The sequence below is a fragment of the Homo sapiens genome, chromosome X (assembly GCF_000001405.40).
Source record: "Homo sapiens chromosome X, GRCh38.p14 Primary Assembly".
NCBI classification, from domain to species: domain Eukaryota; kingdom Metazoa; phylum Chordata; class Mammalia; order Primates; family Hominidae; genus Homo; species Homo sapiens.
In genome coordinates, this window is record NC_000023.11 from 84,995,526 (window position 1) to 85,015,785 (window position 20,260).

The 20,260-nt window shown below is 37.0% G+C and overlaps 1 protein-coding gene across 2 annotated transcripts in view; it reads left to right on the forward strand.

Moving 5' to 3' along the window:
• APOOL (apolipoprotein O like) overlaps window positions 8,352-20,260 on the forward strand; it is an 89,439-nt gene continuing 77,530 nt past the window's right edge. For both annotated transcript variants that reach the window (XM_017029272.2, NM_198450.6), the window contains exon 1: window positions 8,352-8,402. In XM_017029272.2, coding sequence (XP_016884761.1) covers window positions 8,388-8,402 — 15 coding nt within the window. In that variant the 5' untranslated portion in view covers window positions 8,352-8,387. The remainder of the gene's footprint in view (window positions 8,403-20,260) is intronic.

Below are 20,260 nucleotides of genomic sequence, written 5' to 3' on the forward strand. Positions count from 1 at the left end.
TTGGGAGGATGAGGCAGGTGGATCACTTAAGGTCAGGAGTTTGAGCCCAGCCTGGCCAACGTGGTGAAACCCTGTCTCTACTAAAAATACAAAAAAAAAAAAAATTATCCAGGCATGGTGGCACGTGCCTGTAATCCCAGCTACTCGGGAGGCTGAGGCAGGAGAATTACTTGAACCTGGGAGGTGAAGGTTGAGGTGAGCCAAGATTGTGCCACTGCACTCCAGCCTGGGTGACAGAGTGAGACTTCTTCTCCAAAGAAAAACAAAACACATACACACAAACAAGAGTAGCTATACTTATCTAAGATAAAATAGAATTTAAATCAACAGTAAAAAAAGTCAAAGAAAAGTGATTATATAATGATAAATGGATTCAACTAATAGGAAGATATAAAAATCCTGCATCTATCTGCACCCAATCCTGGAGCAGCCAGATTCATAACACAAATATTACTAGACCTACCAAAAAGACGGAAAGCAATATAAGAATAATGGGGGAATTGAACACTCCACTGACAGCACTATACAGATTATCAAGACAAGAAAACACTACTTAAATTGGACTTTAGACCAAATTGATCTAATAGATATTTATAAAACCTTCTAACCAATAACAACAGAATATACATTATTATCATCAGCACATAGACTGTGCTCCAAGACAAACCATGTATTAGGCCACAAAAGAAGTCTGAATACATTTTTAAAAACTGAAATCATATCAAGTATCTTCTTGGACAAAAGTAGAATAAAACTACAAATCAATTCCAAGAGGAACTCTTGAAAAAATACATAGAAATTAAACAACACACTACTGAATAATATTTGGATCAATGATGAAATTAAGATAAAAACTTTAAACATTTTGGAAACAAATGAAAATGGAGACACAACACACTAAAACCCCTAGGATACAATAAAAACACTGCTAAGAGGAAAGTTTGTCGTGCTAAATGCCTACATCAAAAAACTCAGAACACAAATTAACAACCTAATGTCACACCTCAAGGAACTAGAAAAGTAAGAACCAAACATAAAGCTAGCAAAAGAAAAGAAATAACAAAGATCTCAGAAGACCTAAATGAAATTGAGGTCAAAAAAATACAAAGAATCAATTAAACAAAAAATTGATTATTTCAAAAGGTAAACAAAATTGGAAAAATTTTGCAATCTATCCATCTGACAAAGGGCTAATATACAGGATCTACAAATAACTTAAACAAATTTACAAGAAAAAAAACAATCCCATCAAAAAGTGGGCAAAATATATGAACAGACACCTATGAAAAGAAGACATTTATGCAGCCAACAAACACATGAAAAAATGCTCATCATCACTGGTCATTACAGAAATGCAAATCAAAACCACAATGTGATACCACCTCACACCAGTTAGAATGGCAATCATTAAAAAGTCAGGAAACAACAGATGCTGGAGAGGATGTGAAAAAATAGGAACGCTTTTACAATGTTGGTGGGAGTGTAAATTAGTTCAACCATTGTGAAAGACAGTGTGGTGATTCCTCAAGGATCTGGAACTAGAAATACCATTTGATCCAGCAATCCCATTTCTGGGTATATACCCAATGGATTACAAATCGTTCTACTATAAAGACTCATGCACATGTATGTTTACTGTGGCACTGTTCACAATAGCAAAGACTTGGAACCAACCCAAGTGCCCATCAATGATAGACTGGATTAAGAAAATGTGGCACATATACACCATGGAATACTATGCAGCCATAAAAAAGGATGAGTTCATGTCCTTTGCAGGGACATGGATGAAGCGGGAAATCATCATTCTCAGCAAACTAACACAAGAACGGAAAACCAAACTCTGCAGGTTCTCACTCATAAGTGGGAGTTGAACAATGAGAACACATGGATACAGGGAGGGGAACATCACACACAGGGGCCTGTCAGGGGCTGGGGGACTAGGGGAGGGATAGCATTAGGAGAAATACCTAATGTTGATGATAGGTTGATGGGTGCAGCAAACCACCATGGCACATGTATACCTATGTAACAAACCTGTACATTCTGCACATGTACTCCAGAACTTAAAGTATAATACAAAATAAAAATAAAAAATAAAATAAAATAAAAGGCTGTTTATAAAAAAATACAAAGACTCTATTAAACAAAAAGTTTTTTATTTCAAAAGATAAAAAAAATTGAGGCCAAGTGCAGTGGCTCATGCTTATAATCCCAGCACTTTGGGAAGCTGAGGTGGGCAGATACTAATGATATTAATCATCCATAAAAAAGAACAAAATCATATCTTTTGCAGTAACATGGATGGAAGTGGAGGCTATTATCTTAAATGAAATAACTTAGAAAGTCAAATATCACATGATCTCACTTATAAATAGGAGCTAAATAATGTTTATACATGGACATAGAGTGTGGAATAATAAACATTGGAGACTCAGAGGTGTGGGAGGTGGGAGGGGTGTGAGGGATGAGAAAATGCTTAATGGATACAATGTATACTATTTGGGTGATAGTTATACCAAAAGCTCAGACTTCACCACTACACAATATATCCATGTATAAAAAATGCACTTGTACCCCTAAATTTATACAAATAAAAAATAATAAAATAACATAGCCACGATAGGGAAGAGGAGAATTAGCTGCCTAAGGTTAGGTATATTTATCCTGAATGTAGGGGTTTTTTCGAAGAGTAAAATGAAACTTTTCCAGTGAGACTGGGTAGATGAGTTTATTGGCAAAAAAGTGGTTGAAGAGATGTACCACAAGGTCTAGGCTGGTTAGAAAATAAAATGAGGCCAGAAGGGACTAACAGATAGTGAAAAAGGTGATGTGATGGTGGCTTTAAAATATGTATTTAAAGTCTTTGGTATTCCTCCATTTAAAGCTAGAGCCTACTAACTCTATGAGCTCTATGAGGACACTCAGTCAACCTTATGGAGTGATTCACATGGCATATCTGAAGGCTCCTATCAACAACCACCAAAGCAAATGAGCCATTTTGGAAGTGGATCCTTAAACCCCAATCAAGCCTTCTGATAACTGCAGCTCTGGCTGATATCTTGAGTACAACCTCATGAGAGATGAGTAGAATCATCCATCTAAACCACTTCAGAACTCTTGACCCACAGAAACTGTGAGACAATACATGCTTGTTTTTTATATTGCTAAATTTGGGGTAAAGTGTTGTGCATCCAAAGATAGCTAATATAGACATTAAGATCTAGAGAGCCCAAGGAAAACAATAAAATGTGTGGGTCAAAGAGCTCAAGGGAAAATAGTTGAAGTCTGAAAAAATAATGTTTGAATTTAAAATTTCAGAGGTAATGTAGTTTTCTTAGTGATAACAGAGTCAAAACTATGGCCATTTTTGCGGATAGCTGAGGTGAAGTGAAAATAAAAGTCAGTGGAGAGGAGGATTTCATGTGTCCACAAGAATACTTTGTTGCCCAGGATCACCAAATACCATTAAATAAGAGCCCTTACATGATCCTAGGGTGTCAGAGCTAGAAATAACATACCATTGTTAAATTATGTAGTCCGTATAAGTGGACTTGATTTGTTTCTCAATATGTGGCCCAAGGAATATCCATATTAGAAACACCTGGGGTACTCTTCAGACATGCCCCTACATCAGAACAAATAAATACCAATATCCAAGGGTGGGATCCAGGAATTCTCATTTTATCAAATTATGCAGGTGATTCCCAAATACACTAACTTTTGGAACATCTGGTCTGGCTCAGCTCCTTCAAGATTCTGCCTTTAGAGGCCAAGATTTTATTTTGATGCTAATACTTTCCATTATACAAAGCTGCCTTTTGTGCCCAAAGCAATTAGTGGCAATTGATAAACTTACAATAATAAATCAAGGAATATTTAAGAATAAATAACCTAAAAGAAAATCCAAATTCTTTATATAGATCTGGTTCCTGCCAGACTCTTCTATCACTTTCTGCCTTACTTATGGTGCTCCAGTAAGTTTATTCTCACCTCACGGTCTTTGCATTAGTTGTTCCTTCTGCTTGGAGTGCTCAAACATTAACATGAGTAGACTCACGTTTTACTCAAGACTGCTGAAACATCTGCTCCTTCAAGAGGTATTCCCAATCTAAAGTAACTTTCACCCCAAACCAGAGACTAAATACTATAGTCACTCTCTGTAGTATTTATCAGCATTTAAAATAATCTTAATTTATTTACTGTCTTAGTCAAAATATACTTAAGCTCCCTGGGACCAGGGATTGTGTCTGTGTTGTTCATTGCCTCAAGCCCAGTATATATTTTTTCTGACTTTTTAAATATTTCTGCCACTAATTGGGACATCACATAGACATATTCTGAGAATTACACTTCTTTTTATTCTCATACACAATAGTTCCATGTCCTATAGATCATTCTTACGTAAAGTCAAAGCATTTAGTTGACAAAAACATGCCAGTCATAAGCTTCCATATTTGTGGATAAGGTCATAAAAGCATTGAATGCATTCCATTGATTTATTCTTGATTGTTCATATAGGAAAAGATGAGTGTAAGGAAATTATGAATTTTTTTCTATTTTTGGATTGAAAAAGTTAATATTGTTTTTATTTATTTACTTTTTTAAAAACTTTTATTTTAGGTTCTTGGGTACATGTGCAGGTTTGTTATATAGGTAAAATTGTGTTATAGGGGTTTGTTGTACAGATTATTTCATCACCCAGGTACTAAGCCTAGCACCAAATAGTTATTTTTTCTGACCCTCTCCCTCCTCCCACCCTCTACCCTCAAGTGGGCCCCAATGTCTGTTGTTCCCCTCTTTATGTTCACATGCTCTCATCATTTGGCTCCCGCTTATAAGTGAGAGCATGTGATATTTGGTTTTCTGTTCCTGCATTAGTTTAAAATAAAGGCCTCCAGCTCCATCTATGTTGCTTCAAAGGACATGATATCATTCTTTTTTTGGCTGTGTAGTATTTCATGGCATATATGTACCACATTTTCTTTACCCAGTCTATAGTGATTGGGCATTTACGTTGATTCCATGTCTGTTATTGGGAATAGTGCTGCAATAAACATATGTGTGTATGTGTCTTCATGATAGAACCATTTACATTCTTTTGTGTATTTACTCGGTAATGGGATTGCTCAGTTGAATGGTATTTCTGTTTCTAGCTCTTTGAGGAATTGCCACACTGCTTTCTATAATCGTTGAACTAATTTACACTCCCACCAACAGTGTATTAGTGTTCCCTTTTCTCTGCAACCTCACCAGCATCTGTTATTTTTTTGACTTTTTAATAATAGCCATTCTGACTGGTGTGAGATGGTATCTCATTGTGATTTTGATTTACATTTCTCTAATGATCACTGATATTTAACTTTTTTTCATATGCTTGTTGGCCGCATGTATATCTCCTTTTGAGAAGTGTCTGTTCATGTCCTTTGCCCACTTTTTAATGGGGTTGTTTGATTTTCTTGTAAATTTGTTTAAATTCCTTACAGAAGCTGGATATTATTTTCTCCCATTCTGTAGGCTATCTGTTTATTGATGGTTTCTTTTGCTGTGCAGAAGCTCTTTAGTTTAATTAGATCCCATTTGTCAGTTTTTGCTTTTGTTGCAATGATTTTGGTGTCTTTGTCATGAAATCTTTGCTAGTTCCTGTGTCCAGAATGGCATTGCCTAGGTTGTCTTTCAGGGTTTTTATAGTTTTGAGTTTTACATTTAAGTCTTTAATCTATCTTGAGTTAATTTTTTATTATAGTATAAGGAAGGGGTCCAGTTTCAGTCTTCTGCCTATGGCTCACCAGTTTTCCCAGCACCATTTATTGAATAGGGAGTCCATTATTGGGTATATACCCAAAGGAATATAAGTCATTCTACTATAAAGACACATGCATGGGTCTGCTCATTACAGCACTATTCTCACTAGCAAAGACATTGACTCAACCTAAATGCCCATCAACAGTAGACTGGATAAAGAAAATGTGATACATATATACCATGGAATACTATGCAGCCATCAAAAACATAAAAAAGAATAAGATCATATCCTTGGCAGCACCATGGGTGGAGCTGGAAGCCATTATCCTCAGTGAACTAGTGCAGGAACAGAAAACCAAATACTGCAGGTTCTGACTTATAAGTGGGAACTAAATGGTGAGTATGCATAGACATAAAGATGGAAACAATAGACACTGGGGCCTACTTGACGGTGGAAGGTGGAAGGAATGTGAGGATTGAAAAACTACCTATCAAGTGCTATGCTTATTACCTGGGTGAGGAAATAATCTGTATGTCAAACCCACTTGACATGCAATTTTCCTGTATAACAAACCGGCACATGTACCCAAACCCAAAATAAAAGTTAAAGTTGGAAAAGAAGCAACAACAACAACTACAACAACAAAACATGGGTGTTATTGAAATTCCTGAAATTTTTGGGAAATAAGATTGTTATAAATTTATTCTAAGCTTATTCACAATTTTAAGACTTTTCTTATTTGCCTGTTGATTATTGTGAAATAAACCTGACTGATATTAAAATCAATAAAAAGTGTGCATCAATCAGTTATGAACAAAGTTAGCTTGACAAATCTAGGTATACCATTTATTTAATATGCAGAAATGTTAAATTTGGATGAAATTATTGACAAATACACAGAGGTTAAGGCTCAAAAACAGAAACTGTAATATTATTATTCATTCCTGTGGCAGACCACTATGTAGATATAAGTATTTTTCCTTTGAAAAATACATTAATGCAATTAAAACACCTTGATCCATTTTTTTCCTTTTTTGGTTCTGTACTATTTATTTTGCATTTTATTTTTATATTGGCATATATATGTATGTATATGTTTATATTAAGTTCAATAAAAGAAAATAGTCACTCAATGTTTCTTTTGTAGCCAGTATTATTAGTTTCATTTCATCATTATTTCTTAAAATAATTTTGTCATTTACAGGACAGTTCTGTTAAAAAGGATCTGTTTTGGGTATGAAATGTGATAGGTATCAACTAATGCCTAGTATATAGTTTGCACATAATAAATATTTGTTGATTGAATGAATGAATACATGAATTAATATTGGGACTGTTAATGGGCATATTATGAGCATCTTCTTTCCTCAGAATCCTTCAGGGAGGCCTACAGCAGACCTTGCTCCTGTTGTGAATATTGCAATATACCCTTAGTATATTCTCCTGATAGCACCAAAATCATCCTTTAAAAATGTAAATTAGATCACATCACACCTTTGCTCAAAATCCTCCAATGATTTCCCATCTTATTCAGCATAAAATCCAAATTTATTTTGGCGGCACGAAAGCCCCTACACTGTGTTACTTCGCTACCTCTGAAATTATTGCTCCAGCCTCACTGGACTTTTTCATTGCTGTTCCTTCCGTATGCAACCCTCTTCTCTAAATTCCTCCAGGACTTTTATCAAATGAGCTTATCAGAGTCTTTCTCTCATTGATATAAACCAGTAAACTCCCACCTCATTCCCATACTGTTTTATTTTCCTTCATAGCATTTGTCTCTTTTTTAAAATTTATTATTTATTTTTATTTATTTATTTATTTTTTTGAGACGGAGTCTCGCTCTGTCGCCCAGGCTGAAGTGCAGTGGCGCGATCTCCGCTTACTGCAAGCTCCGCCTCCCGGGTTCACGCCAGTCTCCTGCCTCAGCCTCCCGAGTAGCTGGGACTGCAGGCGCCCGCTACTACGCCCGGCTAATTTTTTTTGTACTTTTAGTAGAGACGGAGTTTCACCGTGTTAGCCAGGATGGTCTCGATCTCCTGACCTCGTGATCCGCCCGTCTCGGCCTCCCAAAGTGCCAGGATTACAGGCGTGAGCCACCGCGCCGGCCTCATTTGTCTCTTTTACTCCTGTAATCATAAGCTCTGTGAGGAAGCCACTATGTTTTGTCTATGCCCCGAACAACTGCCCGGCACAGAGTATGCTCTCCGTGACTTAGTTTTAGAATGAATGAACTTACCCATGTTTCGCAGAGGTAATAAGTTGTTTTTCTTACTATATAATTAATTATTAAAGCAGCTACATTTGGGTATTAAGTCCTTATCTGGACATATCACATATGCCCGAAACAAAATAATTAAAAGTTCTGCACCCAGGAAAATAACTCCCAACTGGACTATTGATAATGTTCTGGAAGGCTTTATCTGGGACCGGGAGGGTCAACCACAGGGGTGAACAGTTTCTCCAGAAGACAGCTGACCGAAACCGCAGCAGTTGCCAAGGCGGCTGGAGGAGGGCGGAGAAAAGGCGGTAACTGGCAGGCAAGGGGCGTAACGGGGTGGGGCTGTCCTAAGGGAAGCCTAGTCGAACTGATTTGTCCCTCTCTGCTCTCCGTCTGAAAACCTTGGCCGAAAGGGTTGTAGACATGGCGGCCATCAGGGTAAGCGAAAACCAACTTGCTTAATTTCTGTGGGTGCCGATAGCATCCCGGTAACTGTAAAAGGGATCCTACTAACTTCTGAAGGAGCCCTGAAACAAGGGGCAGGGTGGAGGTGGGTTTTGAGATAATTGCAATCTTTATCGTTTGAAGCCTCAAGACACCTGCCTTTCCCCATTAGGGTTTTATCAGCCTGGGACGCTGCTCCCTCAATCCCCTGTGGTTGTCGATTTACACAGTGGCACAGTACAAAACTGGGAAACGGCTGGGTGAAAATGGCTGGCCAGGCGACGAGCCGCAGTAGACGTTTCGGTCTTCAGCTGCAATAAAGAGAAAAATATATATATAAACTTGGCATTTGTCTCGGCGCACAGGGCAAGGCCACATGACCCTATGGAAGGACTTTGTTGAAACATTTGGGGTGAAACTGACCAGGATAGAGAGGTCCCATAGTCTTTCAGCAGTGCGCTGGTTTACACATAGTGTTGTTGCTTTCTGTGCTCGAATAACCTGTTCCTTTCGAGTTTTACGCTTGGGAAAGGTGCCTTTACTTGGGAGTCCGTGTACAGTGAGTGACTCAGCTGGCAGCTTGCTGCAGTTCCCTAAGTAGTGTTTAATAATGGTAGTCTACAGATATTTACGTAGCGGGTTTTAATTGTAAAATATTCTGTTAGGCTTGCAGGAGATACAGTATGAATAATTCAGTTCCGCTGAAGTTTTAAGTCGGCAGCGTCTACAGTTCTGGTTCTCATACTTCATCTGAGTTATTTGAACAACCTCCTACCTGAACTTGCCACCTCAAGCCTGGCTCTCATGTAATCTGTTTTCCTCTGTGTTGCCAGAGTACATCTACCAAAATGCAAATTTGATTTTTGCCTCCCCCCGCATTTAAAAAATTTTATGGGCATGTCATCATCTCCCCTCTGGGGTCAGGCCATACTCTTATGTCTAGAACATCTGATTTTACCTAGACTTTCCAGCCTCATCTCTTGTCACTCAGGAACCCTCCTCCTGTCGATACTGAGCTGCTTGCTTGACCCCGCCATGCTTTTTTACGTGCTCTTTCTCTGGGCCTAAAGTGCCTTTTCCCATGCTTATCTAGTTGTATTTATAGTTCATTCATTCATTCAGCAGCTATTTGTGTACAGCCTCCCCATATGCAAAACACAAAAATGCCTTGTTTAATAGTGTCCTTGATCTCCCCAGTCTATTTTATTTTATTTTATTTTTTATTTTTGAGACGGAGTCTCTCTCTGTCTCCCAGGCTTGAGTGCAGTGGCGCGATCTCAGCTCACTGCAACCTCCACCTCCCGGGTTCAGGCGATTCTCCTGCCTCAGTCTCCTGAGTAGCTGGGACTACAGGCGCATGCCAACCATGCCCGGCTAAATTTTTTTATTTTTATTTTTTAGTAGAGACGGGGTTTCACCATGTTGGTCACGCTGGTCTCGAACTCCTGACCTCGTGATTCACCCCCCCCCCCCCCCGGGCCTCCCAAAGTACTGGGATTACAGGCGTGAGCCACCACGCCCGGTCCTCGCCAGTCTATTTTAATAACTCTTGTTTGTGCTCCCAGAGGACTCTGGGCACACTCTTAACCAAGCATTTATTCCACTGCACATATAGACTACTTACTTGTCTGTTCTAGCTACCTAAACTATAAGCTCCTTGAAGACAGTAATTATATTAACCTTTGTATCCGTAGTACCTAGCACAGGTCTGATGTATATTAGGTAGTCAACATGTTCTACATGAATAAAGTGCCAGGCAATGAGGACAGAAGAGATTAAGTGGTGGAGATATAACACATATAACACAAATGACTGTGATTCAGAGTAAGGGGAGTTTCTTACCTGAAGAGAAGTACAAAGTGCTCTGACGCTCAAAAGGAGAGAGCTCACACTTGGTTTGAAGAGAGTAAAAAGAGGCTTCATGGAGAAGGTGCAGAGACAGAAGGAATGGTCAGTGGCAAAAAGCAAACCAGAATAGTGTGTTTTCATTGAGAAGAAGAGAGTTGAACAGTCCTTTGATTTCACCATTAATAAGTTGCTGCTGTTATCATTTATTAAGTGCTTACTCCAGGCCAGGCACTATGCTAAAACACGTTACATGTGTTAATTCACTAATTCTCAAGACAACTTTATGTGGTGGGTATTATTACCATTTTACACATGAAAATTAAGGTTTAGAGAAGTCAGATTATTCAAAACCATGCTAATAAGAGCTGAAGTGAGCTAAAGAGATAAATAGAGTGGTAGAGGAACAACCAAGATTGTATGGGGTTAAGAAAAGAATAAGGGATGGAGAACTGGCATTCATTTAGCACCCACTTTGGCCAGATGATTTACATATATTATTTTAGTTTAATCCTCTTGATGACCCTAAGAAATGGGTAATATATCCATTTTACAGATGGAAAAACGGAGGCTTAGAAAAACTGCTTGCTCCAGGTCATACAACCACTAAGTGGAAGAACTAGGTTCAAACAGTATATTTATCTCCAAAGTCTTTCCACTCCTCCTTGCTTCCTCTGGAAAGGAGTTATACATTACTCTTTAGAGAAGTTTGGTGGTGAAAAGAAGGAACAAAATCTTGGAATGAGGGTAGCAAATTCCAGAAAAGGTGTCTTTTAATTAAAAAAAAAAAAAACTAAAAACAAAACAGGAGACAGAAGACTTGAGCTACTTTGGAGACAAGGGAAAATGTACCAGGAGGTATCTAGAGGGAAAGATAATAGTATTTACAGCTATTGTGTTATTGAATATTGACTACGTGCTAGGAATTTTGCTAAGCACTTTATGTGGATTCTCTCATTTATGTTTCACATTGGCCCTATGAGTAGGAATTTATATTAATCACTTTTTACAGGTAGGGAAACAGAAGCTTAAAAAGGTCAAGTAACTCCAAGGTCACACAGGAGTAAAGTGGTAGAGCTGGATCTGAAATCACATGGTATGAGTCCTGAACCTGGACTCTTAACCATACTTTGTAAGAAAGTGGTAAAATCAAGAGAACAAGTGGAGGGATTAACCTTGCAAAGAGGAGACACACTTTGCTTCAAAGGCCAGAGTTGGTCGAGATAGAAGGTGAAGATACCAAGTGATTTTGAAGAACGGAGGAGGTAGAGGAGGGAGCTCACATTGGAGGTCTGTATCTTCTGGGTGGAAGGTCATCTGCTGAGAGGAAAATATGCCTTTAGGAGTTTAAGAATGGGATAGGCTTGGAAAAGGTGCTTTAGGAAATTCAGTAAAGTATCAGTAGACATTGAATAAAATATTAATAATTGCTGAGAAGTGAGGGCCTGGCTAATGTTGGCTCTAGTAGTGACTTTCTCCAGCAGTGCTCACAGCATAGGAGGGGAAGAGGAGACAGTGGGGTTGCTCCAATGCTGAGTGTTGTCAAAGTGAGAATGATAGAAGATCTAGGGAATTTATCCAAATAGTCATCCACTGTGGATAAGGAGACAAAGAAGAAGATTGAAGTGATGGACTAGGGTACTAGAAGATTTATGGCCATAGTGAGAAAGAAGAACTAGTTCAAAAAGAGTAGGAGAGTTGAAAGAGCATTCTATTTTAATGAGGGAAATTTCAAGCATTTAGGATCTTGAAGGTGAAACGATTTCTAATAATTGCAAAGTAGGGTAACTGTGTTAGAAATGGCTAAGATTTGTGGAGATCATGGTGCTTGAGAAGCAAGGACTGTGCTGATCTCTCGGGTCTTCTGGAATCGGGGAATTCCTGGGGGTCTGGCCTTCAATTAAGTGGATTGGGAGGAATGTATAATAGTAGTGTCAAATAAAAGCCAAGTTTCATTTAATGCCAGAGGTTGAGAGTGAGTTTGAAGACAATTTGGGTATTGGCAGATAATTTGTTTTTAATGCATACTTAAAATCAAAATTTGTCTATGATTTATTGAGGACTTACTGTGTATCAGGTACTGCGCTAAGCTGTTGATACTCATTATTTCATTTAATTCTCACTAAAAGTCTTCTAAGGTAGGTAACTTTACCTGTAAGAACTGAAATAGATCAGTAAGGAAATCGAAACTGTAATGATAGGAGGTTGCACTCAGAGAAAAACTTGCTGAATTTATGATTTTAGCTATTAAGACGTTCTAGGGAATGGTAAATTCAAGATGTCCCCAGGGAATAGGTAGCTATAAGACCCTCTGGGTTTATGTATTTTTTTTTCTTTTTTTCCCCAGCTTTATTGAGGTATAACTGATAAATAAAATGGTTTGATTTTAAGGTGTGCAGTGTGATGATTTGATATACATATATTTTGTGGAATGATTACCAGAATCAAATTAGTTTATATGTATCACTTCACCATGCTGTGTATTATATCCCTTGAACTTACCTGTCATTGAAAGTTTGTGCCCTTTGGCCAACCTCCCAACCTCTCGCCTTTCCTTTACCTTTGCCTGTGGGAACCAGCATTCTATTCTCTAGTTCAGTGAGTTCAACTTCTCAAAATTCCACGTACAAATAAAATCAGGCAGTTTGTCTTTCTCTGTCTGACTTACTTCACTCAGCATAATACCCTTGAGGGTTATCCATGTTGTTGTAAATGACAGGATTTCTTTCTTTTTTTTATGGTTGAATGATAACCCGTTGTGTGTGTGTGTGTGTGTGTGTGTGTGTGTGTGTGTGTATACCACAGTTTCTTCATCCGTTGATCTGTTGGCAGACACTTCGATTAGACACTTAGGTTGTTTTCATGTTTTGGCTGTTGTGAATAATACTGCAGTGAATATGGGAGTGCAGATATCTTTGCAATTGCTGATTTCATTTGCTTTGGTTGTACACCTACTTTGGCTATTCAGAGTCTTTTGTGATTCCATACAAATTTTGCAATTGTTTATTTTTTCTATGTCTGTGAAAAATGCCACTAGAATTGAATCTGTGGATTGCTTTGGGTAGTATGGATATTTTAACAACATTAATTCTTCCAATTCATGAACATAGGATATCTTGCCATTCATTTGTATCTTCAATTTTTTCCATTATGGTTTGATAGTTTTCAATATACAGCTCTTTGACCTCTTGGGTTAAGTTTATTCTTAAGTGTTTTATTCTTTCTGATGCTATTTTAAATGGGATTGCTTTCTTTCTTTCTTTTTTGGGTAGATCATCTTCGATAGTGTATAGAAATGTAACTGCTTTTTTGTATGTTGACTTTGTATGCTGCAGTTCCCTGAGTTTATTTATTAGTTCTAACAGTTTTTTGGTGGCGTATTTAAGATCTTCTATGTATAATATCATGTAATCTGGGAGAAGAGACAATTTTACTTCTTCTTTTCCAATTTGTATGTCTTTCATTTCTTTCTCTTGCCTGATTGCTTTGACTAGAACTTCCAGTGCTATGTTAAATAAAAGTGGCAAGAGACTTGTTCCTGATCTTAGAGGAAAAGCTTTTAGCTTTTCACCATTGGGTATGATATTAGTTGTGGCCTTATCATATATGGCTTTTATTATGTTGAGGTACATATCTTGGATAATTAATTTGTTGAGAGTTTTTATCACAAAAGGATGTTGAATTTTGCCAAATGCTTTTTCCACATTCATTGAAATGATCATGTTGTTTTTGTCTTTCATTCTATTAATGTGGTGTATCATGTTTATTGATTTGGATATGTTGAACCATCCTTGCATCTCTGGGATAAAACTTACTGATCATGGTGAATGAGCCTTTTACTTTTATTTATTTATTTACTTTTTTTTTCAACTTCTATTTTAGGTTCAGGTGTACATGTGAAGATTTGTTACACAGGTAAACTCGTATCATGGGCATTTGTTGTGCAGATTATTTCATCACCCAGCTGTTAAGCTCATTACCCAGTAGTTGTCTTTTCTGCTCCTCTCCTTGCTCCCACCCATTACCCTCAGGTGTCTGTGGTTTCCTTCTTTGTGTTTGTAAGTTCTCATCATTTAAGTTCTCATCATTTAGCTCCCACTTATAAGTAAGAACATGTGGTATTTGGTTTTCTGTTCCTGCGTTTACTTGCTAAGGATAATAGCCTACAGCTCCATCCATGTTCATGCAAAAGACATGATCTCATTTCTTTTTATGGCTGCATAGTATTCCATGGTGTATATGTACCAATTTTTTTAATCCAATCTGTTATTGGTGAACATTTGGGTTGATTCCATATCTTTGCTATTGTGAATAGTGCTGTCAAGCTACCCTTCTAAGTGGCTGTATCATTTTGCATTCCTACTAGCAATGAATGAGACTTCCTGTTTCTCCATGTTCTCCCCAGCATTTACCGTCGTCAATGTTTCAGATTTTCACCCTGCTAGTAGGTATACAGTGGTATATCATTGTTGTTTTAATTTGTAATTCTCCAATGATATGCTGTTAAGCATCTTTTCATACGCTTATTTGTCATCTGTGTATCTTTGATGAAGTATCTGTTCAGATATTTTGCCCATTTAAAAAAAATTTTAATAGATTTTCAGGAACAGGTGGTTTTAGGTTAAATGGGTGAGTTCTTTAGTGGTGATTTCTGAGATTTTGGTGCACCTGTCACCTGAGCAGTTTACACTGTCTCCAGTGTGCAGTATTTTGTCCCTTACCCCCTCCCAGTATTCCCAAGTCCCCAAAGTGCATTATCTTAATTTTATGCCTTTGCATCCTGATAGCTTAGCCCCCACTTATTAGTGAAAACATGATAGTTGGTTTTCAATACCTGAGTTACTTCACTTGGAATAATGTTCTCCAACTTCATCTGGGTTGCTGCAAATGCCATTATTTTCTTCCTTTTTATGTCTGAGTACTATTCCATGTTGTATACATACCACATTTTCTTGATCCACTCATTGGTTGATGGGCATTTGGGTTGGTTACATATTTTCACAATTGTAAATTGTGCTGCTGTAAACATGCATGTGCAAGTGACTTTTTTATATAATGACTTTTTTTCTTTGGGTAAATACCCAGTAGTGGGGTTGCTGGATCAAATAGTAGTTCTACTTTTAGTTCTTTAATGAATCTCCATACTGTTTTCCATAGTGGTTGTACTAGCTTACATTCTCACCAGCAGTGTAAAAGTGTTCCCTTTTCACCACATCCACACCAACATCTATTATTTTTTTATTTTTAATTATGGCCATTCTTGCAGGAGTGAGATGGTATCGTATTGTGGTTTTAATTTCCATTTCCCAGATAATTAGTGATGTTAAGCATTTTTTCATATGTTTGTTGGACATTTGCATATTTTGAGAATTGTCTATTCATGACCTTCACCTACTTTTTGATGCAAATTATTTGTTCTTTTCTTGATTTGTTTGAGTTCCTTGTAGATACTGGATATTAGTCCTTTGTCAGATGCATAGTTTATGAGTATTTTCTCCCACTCTGTTGGTTGTCTGTTTTCTCTGCTATTTTGTTTGCTGTGTAGAAACTTTTTAGTTTAATTAAGTCCCATCTATTTATTTTTGTTTTTGTTGAATTTGCTTTTGGGTTCTTGGTCATGAACTACTCTTTGCCTAAGCCAATGTCTAGAAGAGTTTTTCTGATGTTATCTTCTGGAATTTTTATGGTTTCAGGTCTTAGATTTAAGTCTTTGATCCATGTTGAGTTGATTTTTGTATAAGGTGAGAGATAAGGATCCAGTTTAATTCTTCTACATGTGGCTTGCCAGTTATTCCAACATGATTTGTTGAACAGGGTGTGTGTGCTTTTCCCACTCTGTTTTTATTTGCTTTGCCTAAGATCAATTGGCTGTAAGTATTTGGCTTTATTTCTTGGTTCTCTACTGTGTTCCATTGGTCTACGTGCCTACTTTTATACCAGTACCATGTTTTGGTAACTGTAGCCTAGTTTGTAGTATAGTTTGAAGTTGGGTAATACGATGCCTTCAGATTTGTTCTTTTTGCTTAGTATTACTTCAGCTATGTGGGCTCTTTTTTGGTTCCATATGAATTTAAGGATTGTTTTCTTCTAGTTCTGTGGAGAATGATGATGATATTTTGATGTGAATTGTATTGAATCCGTAGATCACTTTTGGCAGTATGGTCATTTTCACAATATTGATTGTACCCATCCATGAGCATGGGATATGATTCCATTTGTTTGTGTCATCTATAATTTCTTTCAGTAGTGTTTTATAGTTTTCTTGTAGAGATCTTCCACCTCCTGAAGTTTTTTTGTTTGTTTATTTTTTTGTTTCTGTTTTGCAGCTGTCGTAAAAGGGATTGAATTATTGATTTGATTCTCAGCTTGATCGTTGTTGGTGTATAGCAGTCCTACTGATTTGTGTACATTGATTTTGTAACCTGAGACTTTACTGAATCATTTGTTAGATCTAGGAGCTTTTTGGATGAGTTCTTAGACTTTTCTAGGTATACTATCATATCATTGGTGAACAGCAGTGGTTTGACTTCCTCTTTTCTGATTTGGGTGCCCTTTATTTCTTTCTCTTGTCTGATTTCTTTGGCTAGGACTTCCAGTATCATGTTGAATAGAAGTGGTGACAGTGGTTATCCTTGTGTTGTTTCAGGTCTCATTGGAATGCTTTCAGTTTTTCCCCATTTAGTATGGTATTGGCTGTGGGTTTGTCATAAATGGCTTTTATTACCTTGAGATCTGTCCCTTCTATGCCAGTTTTGCAGAAGGTTTTTATCATGAAGGGAGCCAGGAGTTTTTCAAATGCTTTTTCTGCTTCTGTTGAGGTGATCTTATGATCTTATGATTTTTAGTTTTAATTCCGTTTATGTGATGTATCACGTTTATTGACCTGTGTATGTTAAACCATCCCTGCCTCCCTGGTATGAAACCCACTTGCTCATCTTTTTGATATGCTGTTTGGATTCAGTTAGCTAGTATTTTGTTGAGGATTTTTGCATCTGTGTTCATCAGGGATATTGGTCTGTAGTTTTCTTTTTTTTGTATGTCCTTTCCTGGTTTTGGTATTTGGGTAATACTGGCTTCATAGAATGATCTAGGGAGGACTCCCTCTTTCTTTATTTTTTGTAATAGTTTCAGTAGGATTGGTACCAATTCTTCTTTGAGTGTCTGATACAGCTTAGCTGTGAATCCATCTGGTCCTGGAATCTGTTTTTGTTGGCAATTTTTAAATTACTGTTTCGATTTCGCTATTGGTCTGTTCAGTTTCTGTTTCTTCCTTATTTAATCTAGGAGGATTGTGTATTTCTGGGAATGTATCCATCTATGCTAGGTTTTCTAGTTTGTGTGCACAAAGGTGTTCTTAGTAGCCTTCAATGATCTTTTGCATTTCTATGGTATCAGTTGTAATATCTCCCTTTTCATTTCTACGTGAGCTGATTTGGATATTCTCTCTTCTTTAATCTCTCTAATGGTCAATCAGTTTTCTTAATCGTTTCAAATAAACAGATCCTTGTTTTATTTATCTCTTGTATTTTTTTGTTTCAATTTTATTTGGTCCTGCTCTGATTTTGTTATTTCTTTTCTTCTAGCTTTAGGTTTAGTTTGACCTTGTTTCTCCAGTTCCTAGAGGTGTGATATTTGATTGTCAATATTTGGGCTCTTTCACACTTCTTGATGTAGGCATTTAATACCATGAACTTTCCTCTTAGCACTACTTTTGCTGTATCCCAGAGGTTTTGATAAGTTGTGTTACTGTTATTCAGGTCAAAGACTTTTTAAATTTCCATCTTAATTTCATTGTTGGCCCAAAGATCATTCATTAGTAGATTATTTAATTTACATGTATTTGTATAGTTTTGAGGGTTCCCTTTGGAGTTATTTCAGTTTTATTCTACAGTGGTCTGAAAAGATGCTTAATATGATTTTGATTTTCTTAAATTTATTCAGAAGTGTTTTGTGTCCTATCATGTGGTCTGTCTTGGAGAATGTTCCATGTCCTGATGAAAAGAATGTATATTCTGCAGTTTTGGGGTAATAAGTTCTATAAATATCTAAGTCCATTTGTTCTAGGATGTAGTTTAAATCCATTGTTTCTTTGTTGACTTTCTGTCTTGATGACCTGTCTAGTGCTGTCAGTGTAGTATTGAAGTCCCCTACCCTACTATTATTGTGTTGCTGTCTATCTCATTTCTTAGGTCTAGTAGGAATTGTTTTATGAATTTTGGAGCTCCCGTGTTAGGTACATATGTGTTTAAGACTGTGATATTTTCCTGTTGGGGTAGTCCTCTTATCACTATATAATATCCCTCTTTGTCTTTTTAAACTGTTGTTATTTTAAAGTGTGTTTTGTCTGATATAAGAGTAGCTACTCCTGCTCACTTTTGGTGTCCATCTGCATGGACTATCTTTTTCTACCCCTTTACCTTAAGTATATGTGAGTCCTTATGTGTTAAGTGAGTCTCAGCAATTACTTGGTTGGTGGATTTTTATTCATTCTGCCATTCTTTATGTTTTAAGTGGAGCATTTAGGCCATTTACTATCAGCGTTAGTATTGAGATGTGAGGTACTGTTCTATTTATCATGCTAGTTGTTGCCTGAATACCTTTTTTTTAAATTGCATTATTGTTTTATAGGCCTTGTGAGATTTATGCTTTTAGTTGGTTGTATTTTGGTGTATTTTGAGGTTTTCTTTCAAGATTTAGAACTGCTTTTAGCAGTTCTTGTAGTGCTGGCTTGGTAGTGGCAAATTCTCAGCATTTTTTTTTTTTTGTCTGAAAACGACTTTATCTCTCCTTTATTTATGAAGTTTAGGTTTGCTGGAAACAAAATTACTGGCTGACAATTATTTTATTTAAGGAGGTTAAAGATAGGACCCCAATTCCTTCTGGCTGTAAAGTTTCTGCTAGGAAATTTGCTGTTAGTCTGATAGGTTTTTCTTTATAGTTTACCTGATGCTTTTGTCTCACAGCTCTTAAGATTCTTTCCTTCACCTTGAGTTTAGATAACCCGATGACTGTGTGTCTCGGTGATGATCTTTTTTGTGATGAATTTCCCAGAAGTTCTTTGAGCTTCTTTTAGTTGGATGTTTAGATCTCTAGCAAGACCAGGGAATTTTTTCTCAATTATTCCTTCAAACGAGTTTTCCAAACTTTGAGATTTCTCTTCTTCCTCAGGAACACCAATTATTATTAGATTTGACCATTTAACATAATCCTCAGTTTATTGGAAGCTTTGTTCATTTTTTTAGATTGCTTTTTCCTTGTCTTTTTCTGATTGGGTTAATTCGAAAGCCTTGTCTTCGAGCTCTGAAATTCTTTCTTCTACTGGTTCTAGTCTATTTTTGAAAATTTCCACTGCATTTTATATTTCACTAAGCATGTCTTTCATTTCCAGAAGTTGTGATTGGTTTTTCTTTATGATACCTATTTCTATGGAAAAGGTTTCATTCATATCCTGTATTTTTTAAAAAAATTATCTAAGGTCTTTTTCACCTTTCTGTGGTATCTCCTTGAGTAGTTTAATAATCAGCCTTCTAAATTCTTTATCTGGCAATTCAGAGATTTCTTCTTGGTTTGGATCCACTGCTTGGGGAGCTCGTGTGATTATTTGGGGGTGTTATAGAACCCTGTATTGTCATTACCAGAATTACTTTTCTGGTTTCTTCTCATTTGTGTAGACTATTTCTTAAAATTGTTCTTGAATCTTTTTTTGATTGGACTTCTTTTTTATTTTAAATTTCTTTTTTTCCTTCTTAAGGATCGGACTTTAATATTTATTTATTTATTTATTTATTTATTTATTTATTTATTTATGAGATGGGATTTCACTCTTGTGGCCCAGGCTGGAGTGCAATGGCGTGATCTCTGTTCACTGCAACCTCCGCCTCCCGGGTGTAAGTGATTCTCCTGCCTCAGCCTCCCGAGTACCTGGGATTATAGGTGTGTGCCACCACGCACGGCTAATTTTGTATTTTTATTAGAGATGGGGTTTCACCATGTTGGCCAGGCTGGTC